This window comes from Homo sapiens, chromosome 3, assembly GCF_000001405.40.
Source record: "Homo sapiens chromosome 3, GRCh38.p14 Primary Assembly".
Lineage (NCBI taxonomy): Eukaryota > Metazoa > Chordata > Mammalia > Primates > Hominidae > Homo > Homo sapiens.
Window position 1 is genome coordinate 1,753,342 of NC_000003.12, and position 7,747 is coordinate 1,761,088.

Below are 7,747 nucleotides of genomic sequence, written 5' to 3' on the forward strand. Positions count from 1 at the left end.
TGAAGAACTACAAAAGGCTTAAAATTCTTTCCAGGTATTTTAGGAATCACTAAAGTGCATAAGGACAAGACTTTTATTTTTCAAAAGGAAGAACAAAAAAAAACATCAATTGCTTGTACCTGCTTAGGGAGAATAAATCTCTCAGTGTTAAATTAAATCTAGCTAGTATCAGAAGTTTTTGCAGATATTTAACCTTACAATTTAAATGTTCACTGAAGGACTTCTTGAAACATTAGAAGGAAGAGACCTCTCCTTGCCCCAAAGTCCAATTTCTTTGAAGGTTATATAGAGTTTCACATTTCTATAGAATGTGAAACTCAATTTTGAAAAACAAAATAACTCAATTTTGAAAAACAAAATGAATATTGAATCAAGCGTAAATAGTCAAAAGTGAGAGAAAGTTAAAGGTGTACATGGTGTGATATCTTTGTATAGCACAGAGGGTGATATAATGGTATTTGCATTCAAACAAAAATGGGCTCAAACTCAGCCTCTCCTCCTTGCTTACATCGTAACACTGGGTAACTTACCCACCCACGTGGAGCCTCCTTAGCCTCCACCAGAACACTGTGAACACAATTATTGGAGGAACCTGCCCCCAATATTTCAATGTAGGTTCTTTCTATTTTCTGTAAGTGTTTGGCTGGTCTGAGAAATACAGAGAAAGAGTATAAAGAGAGGAATTTTACAGCTGGGCCTATGGGGGTGACATCACATATTAGTAGGACCGTGATGCCACCTGAGCTGCAAAAACAGCAGGTTTTTATTAATTACTTCAAAAGCGGGGGGGGGTGGGGTGTATGAACAAGGAGTAGGTCACAAAGATCACATGCTTCAAAGGGCAAAAAAGGAGAACAAGATCACATGCTTCTGAGGCCAATAAAGATCACAAGGCAAAGGACAAAGCAAAGATCACAAGGCAAAGGGTGAAATCAAAAACTCCTGATAAGGGTCTATGTTCAGCTGTGCACCTATTGTCTTGATAAACATCTTAAACAACAGAAAACACAGTTCGAAGGGTCTATGTTCAGCTGTGCATGTATTGTCTTGATAAACGTCTTAAACAACAGAAAACAGAGTTCGAGAGCAAAGAACCAGTCTGACCTCCAATTTACCAGGGTGGGGTTTCTTCCCCACCCTAATAAGCCTGAGGGTACCGCAGGAGACCAGGTCGTATTTCAGTCCTTATCTCAACCGCATAAGACAGACACTCCCAGAGTGGTCATTTATAGATCCCCCCCAGGAATGCATTCCTTCCCCAGGGTATTAATATTCCTTGCTAGGAAAAGAATTCAGTGATATCTTCCCTACTTGCATGTCCATTGATAGGCTCTCTGCAAGAAGAAAAATATGGCTCTATTCTGCCCGAACCCACAGGCAGTCAGACCTTATGGTTGTCTTCCCCTGTTCCCTGAAAATTGCTGTTATTCTGTTCTTTTTCAAGGTGCACTGATTTCATATTGTTCAAACACACATGTTTTATAATCAATTTGTACAATAGTGATCCTGAGGTGACGTACATTCTCAGCTTACAAAGATAACAGGATTAAGAGATTAAAGACAGGCATAAGAAATTATAAGAGTATTAATTTGGGGAACTGATAAATGTCCATGAAATCTTCACAATTTATGTTCCTCTGCCGTGGCTCCAGCCAGTCCCTCCATTCGGAGTCCCTGACTTCCCACGACACACAATTCTGCATGTAATACAATAAATACAGTTGGAATGAAGATTCAATGTGAAATGCTGCCCTAAGTGCTGGGCTTATGCATGCATGGCTGATAGGTAATATGGTAGTGACTACATTGAGTATGATGTGACAACCCAAAGTAAACTTCATTTTGTTTGGAATATTGAGGCCCAGAGGAGAGATATGTTCCACAAGAAATGGCAAACTGGATGCTGGCACTGGTGGTGCATTGCTTCAGAATAATAGAATTGACATTTTCATTTCCTGAATTAATATGAATCCACTGCAGAAGCATGGTACCTGGAACATCTAGAAATGTTGGTTGGGTGGCATGTTACTGAATGGAATTAGTAGATCCTCTCCATGAAGAAAAGCCACTCTTTCTTGCCACTGTAGATCCCTGTTCAATTCCTGGCATTTTGTGACCGTCTATTCCTTCACTCAGGTGGGGCTCATAGAAGTGATCATGGTTTATGTTAACTTTCATTGCTGTTAAAATTTAATCCTGTGATGATTTCAATTAAACATTTATTAATTGGAATACCAAATCCCATTTTATTTTTTATTTTTAAAATTTTTATTGCTAAGCTTTCTCATCATTTCCTATTTATTTTATCCATTTGAATAGGTGTTAATTTTGTATATCTCCATTTATATTGATATAGAGTGAAAGATATAAGGAAGTACCCTTTACCTTCAGATGTCTATGTGACGTTTTTATTCTTTAAGGAACAGGTAGGAGCATATATCAATTGCATTTTCAACAACTGAGATTACAACAGGTCTTTACCATTGTATGTATAAATTGGATGAATTATATTACATTAATTACCTTTAATTTTCTAAGCTAACACATATTAAAATATATGTATACACACATAATGGTGAATTTGATAGGCAAAATAGTATTTTATTATTAACTGCTTTATTGGTTAGATTTAAACTGATTTTTTAAAATATTCAGATGGGGCCAGGCGTGGTGGCTCACACCTGTAATCCCAGCACTTTGGGAGGCCAAGGTGGGTGGGAAACCTGGGGTCAGGAGGTTGAGACCAGCCTGACCAATGTGATGAAACTGTGTCTCTTCTAAAAATACAAAAATTAGCTATGCATGATGGTGTGCACCTGTAATCCCAGCTACTCAGGAGACTGAGATAGGAAAATTGCTTGAACCTGGGAGGCGGCAGTTGCAGTGAGCCAAGATCATGCCACTGCACTCTAGCCTGGATGACAGAGCAAGACTCCATCTCAAAAAAAAAAAAAAAAAAAATTCAGATGGGAATTAGCTAGCTCCCAAGTTAGCTCCAAGGCTTGGGAGAAAGAAACAAAGGCTTTCCATAGCCTCAAAAAAAAATAAAAGTTTTTTTTTTTTCAGATGGAGAATTAGAGGCTTTCAGCATTCCTCAGCCACTTGGAAAGAGCAAGACAGTGCATAAAGATCAATTCTGTGAGCTTTAATTCAAGAAGGAAAATGGGATTACACTGGAACGGTAAAGAACATACCAGACCCAGAGGGGAGGATGCCAGCAAAGAGCCCCTCTGATGGCACCTGGCTGATAAAAGTGAATGAAGCCCCAGTACATGAGAGGGAAACAGAGCTTCCCTCTGTGACTCACCTTACCACTGCCCATCCAAGCAACCCAGGGCTACGGAGAGCTCTTTGTTTCTCCCAAGCCTTGGAGCTAACTTGGGGCAAGGCCTGGAGACACTGTGAGAGAAAGACACCTGGAAAACCTCAGGCATTTCTCCAGACCTGGGACAGAGAGCAGGACACCATATTTAATGTGGTCACATACAAACTCAGCCATTTTTTGGTGACTTGGCAGCATGGCCATGCAGGCATTTTCATCTTGGGCCAGAGATTGAAGTGCCCACTCTGGAATGGGTAGGAGCCTCCACAGTCAGAACTTTTGAAAGTACCACAGAAGTAGGGGCTGGAATTGTGCTCTCCCCCACCACAAGCCTAGACCAGGAGGAGAACTGCTAAAGCTGCCATTGTTCCTGAGTGGTGATAAACCAGGGCCAGATTGGCGACCTGAAACCAGTCTTAATGAGCCATTGCTGGGTTCGCCAGCCTGCCCCCCTGAGATCATGGTGCACTGGGTCACTCTCCACTCCATCTCCTGGCAGAAATCCAAGCATTTGGAGCACCCATTTGCCTGGATCCACACCCTAAGTTGCCTCATCCATCCTTTACAGAGATCCTGGTACAGGGAGGCCCCCTCTCTTCACACCCAGGCAGGTCTCCAGGCACTCAGGGCACCCACTGATCTGGTTCATCAACCCAAGCCATCCTACACTTCCTGGACACGGATTGTGATTAATCAAGGCCCTCTTCACTCCATGTCCAGGCAGATCTCCAGATGTCTGGAGTACCAGCTCTCCTAGATCAGCAGCATGAGGAGGCCTGCCCTTCCTGTGCACAGATGCTGGTCCAGGAAAGCCCTCTCTGCTACATAGCCAGGCATATCTCCAGGCATTCAAAGTATCTGCGTATATGCTTCAGTAGCCTAAGTCACCTCATCCCTCCTGTGCAGGGATTGTGGCACAGGGCAGTTCTCTCCACTCTATGCCCAGATGGACCTCCAGGCATTTGGAGCACCTATTATCCTAGATTAGCAGTTGAGGCCACTCCTCACCCCTTCGCAAAGAGCCTGGAGCTGAGGACGTTTCCCAGCTCCATGTGTAGGCACACTTCTGGTTGTCTGGTGGCCGTTCACTGGATTCTCCCTCAGTGCAGGTGTTTGTGCCTGCCACTGGGGGACCTTTGGGGAGCCCTGCCCAGTCCAGCTCTGCTCATCATGGCGCCTGCCACCCAGGAGTTGAGTAGGGAGTTTAGGCCACTGTGCATAGAAGTAATTAGCCCATTGCCTGAGCAACAGAGAGCTTCTGACAGTAAACAAGGATCAAGTATATACCTACCCTGCTGGACGCAGCCAGCTCTTACCTATAAACACCATTTATGGGCTTGTAGGTCAAACTGCAAAGCCCAATATAAAGCCAGCCAAAAGAAGTGTATATGGCTATAGAAGCAAAGCCAAAAACCCTATTCCATATTCTCTACAGTCATACCCACTGGAGAGAGGGAGGGGCACAGAGAGAAAGAGAAATTTAAAAACACTATTATAGGGAAAGAAAGAAAATGAAATAACACCTCGCCAATGTGAAAATAATTACAAAAATTAGAAGTGCCAGCATCTCCTGATGGGAAAAAAGCAAACACAAAAATTTATACCATAAACAATTTGAGTGTAGTAACATCACCAAACGATTAAACTAGCTCTTCAGCAATGGTCTCTAGCCAAAATGGAAATGACATTTAAAGAATTTGAAGTATGGATTGCAGGGAAGCTCAACAAGATGCAAGACAAGGTTGAAAATCAACACAAAGAAACTTCTAAAACAATCCAGGAAATGGAGAAACAGATAAATATTTTAAAATGAAATCAATCAGAGCTTCTAAAATTAAAAAACTCACTTAAGGAATTTCAAAATATAATTGAAAGCCTTATCAATACACTGGACCAAGCAGAAGGAAGAATTTCAGAGTGTGAAGACCTTCTTTTGAACTAACTCAATCAGACAAAAATTTTAAAAAGAATTTTTAAAAATAAAGTCTTTGAGTAATGTGGGATTATGTAAAGCAACCAAACTTACAAATTATTGGTATTCCTGAGAAACAGGAGGAAAAGCAAAGGTAGTAATTCAATAAACTTTCCCTAATCTTGCTAAAGACATCCAGATACAAGAAATTTAGAGAAGACCTGTAAGATACTATACAAAATGAACATTAAAAGGCATATAGTCACCAGACTGTCCAAGGTCAATGCTAAAGAAAAAACCTTAAAGGTAGCTAGAGAAAAAGGTCAGATCATGTACAAAGAGAACCCCACCTGGTTAACAGTGGACTTGTCAGCAGAAACTTTACAAGCTAAGAGAGTTTGAGGACCTATTTTCATCATTCATAAAGAAAAGACATTCCAGCCAAGAATTTTGTATTCCTCCAAACTAAGCTTTATAAGCGAAGGAGTGATAAAAAATTTTCCACACAAGCAGGCACTAGGGGAATTCATTACCACTAGACTATCCTTACAAGAGATCCTCAAGGGAGTTCTAAACATGGAAATGAAAGAACAATATCTGCTACCACAAAAACACACTTAAGTACATAGTTCACAGACGCCATAAAGCAACCGTGCAATCCAAACAACAAAGAAACCAGCTAACTATTTCATGATAGTATCAAAAGCTCACAAATCAATATTAACTTTGAATGTAAATAGTCTAAATGCCTCACTTAAAAGACAAGAGTGGCAAGTGAGATGAAAAAACAAGACCCATCTGTCTGCTGTCTTTAGAGACCCATCTCACACATAGCAATGCCTATATGCTCAAAGCAAGGGGTTGAAGAAAGATCTACCATGCAAATAGAAAACAAAAAGGTGCAGGGATTGCTATTATTATTTCAGATAAAACAGACTTTAAGCCAACAACAGTAAAAAAAAAAAAAATGACAAATAAGGGCATTACATAATTGTAAAGGAGTTCAAGTCAACAAGAAGACAAGTATTCTAAATATAAAATGCACCCAACACAGGAGCACCCAGATTCATAAAACAAGTTCTTCTAGACCTATGACAAGACTTAGATAGCCACATAATAATAGTGGGGTATTTCAACACCCCACTATCAGCATTAGACAGATCACAGGGGCAGAAACCTGACAAATTCTTGACTTAAACTCAACACTTGACCAATTGGACCTACTAGATATCTACATCCATCAACCACAGAGTATACATTCTTCTCATCTGCACAGCAAGCATATTGCAAGATCGGCCACATGCCCAGCCATATAACAAGTCTCAATGAATTTAAAAAAAATAGAAAAAATAGAAATCATACCAAACATTTACTCTTGAACCATATAAACACAGAAATCAGTAACAAGAAGATCTCTCAAAACCAAACAGTTACATGGAAATTAATAATTTTCTCCTGAATGACTTTTGGGTAAATAATGACATTAAGGCAGAAATCAAAAAATTATTTAAAATAAATGAAAACAGAGACACAACATACCAAACCCTCTTGGATGTAGCAAAAGCACTGTTCAGAGGAAAGTTCATAGCATGAAATGCCTACCTCAAAATCTTAGAAAGATCTCATATTAACAATCTAACATCACATCTAGAAGAATTTGAAAAGCAAGAATAAACCAACCCCAAAGCTAGCAGAAGAAAAGAAATAACTAAAATCAGAGTGGAACTGAATGAAATTGAGACCCAAAATACATACAAAGAATCAATAAAACCAAAACTTTGTGCTTTGAAAGGATAAACAAGATCTATAGAGCACTAGCTACATTAAAAAAGAAAAAAAATGAGAGAAGATCCAAATAAATACAATCAGAAATAACAAAGGTGACATTACAGCCTATCCCACAGAAATACAAGAGATTCTCAGAAACTATTATGAACACCTCTATGCACACAAACTAGAAAATCTAAAGGAAACAGGCAATTTCCTGGAAACACACCATCCCCCAAGAATCAGGAAGAAACCCTTAATGGACCAATATTGAGTTCCAAAATTAAATCAGTATTAAAAAAAACAACCGAAAAAGCCCCAGACCAGATGGATTCACAACTAAATTCTACCACACATTCAGATAAGAGCTAGTACCAATTCTACTGAAACTACTCCAAAAAATTGAGGAGAAACTCTTTCCTAACTCATTGCCTGAAACAATCATCACACTTAAACAAAAACAGGCAAAAAAGACACAATGAAAAAGAAAAGTACAGGCCAATACCCCTAATAAACATAGATGCAAAAATCCTCCACAAAACACTAGCAAACCAAATTCAATGCATATCAAAAAATTAATTCACCACAATCAAGTAGGCTTCTTTCCTAGGATGCAATTTTGGTTCAATATATACAACTAAATAAATGTGATACTCCACATAAAAAGAACTAAAAGCAAAAATCATGTGATCATCTCAGTAGAGGTGGAAGAAGCTTCTGATAAAATCCCACCATCTCTTCATGAT

The 7,747-nt window shown here is 39.5% G+C and overlaps 1 annotated feature.

Annotated features, from left to right (window-relative positions):
- Window positions 4,184-4,478: a silencer, noted in NCBI's record as "tiled region #9777; HepG2 Repressive non-DNase unmatched - State 24:Quies, and K562 Repressive non-DNase unmatched - State 24:Quies". NCBI's record gives its function as "represses a minimal TATA promoter and a strong SV40 promoter by Sharpr-MPRA in HepG2 and K562 cells {active_cell/tissue: HepG2 | K562}" and the evidence as "EXISTENCE:reporter gene assay evidence [ECO:0000049][PMID:27701403]".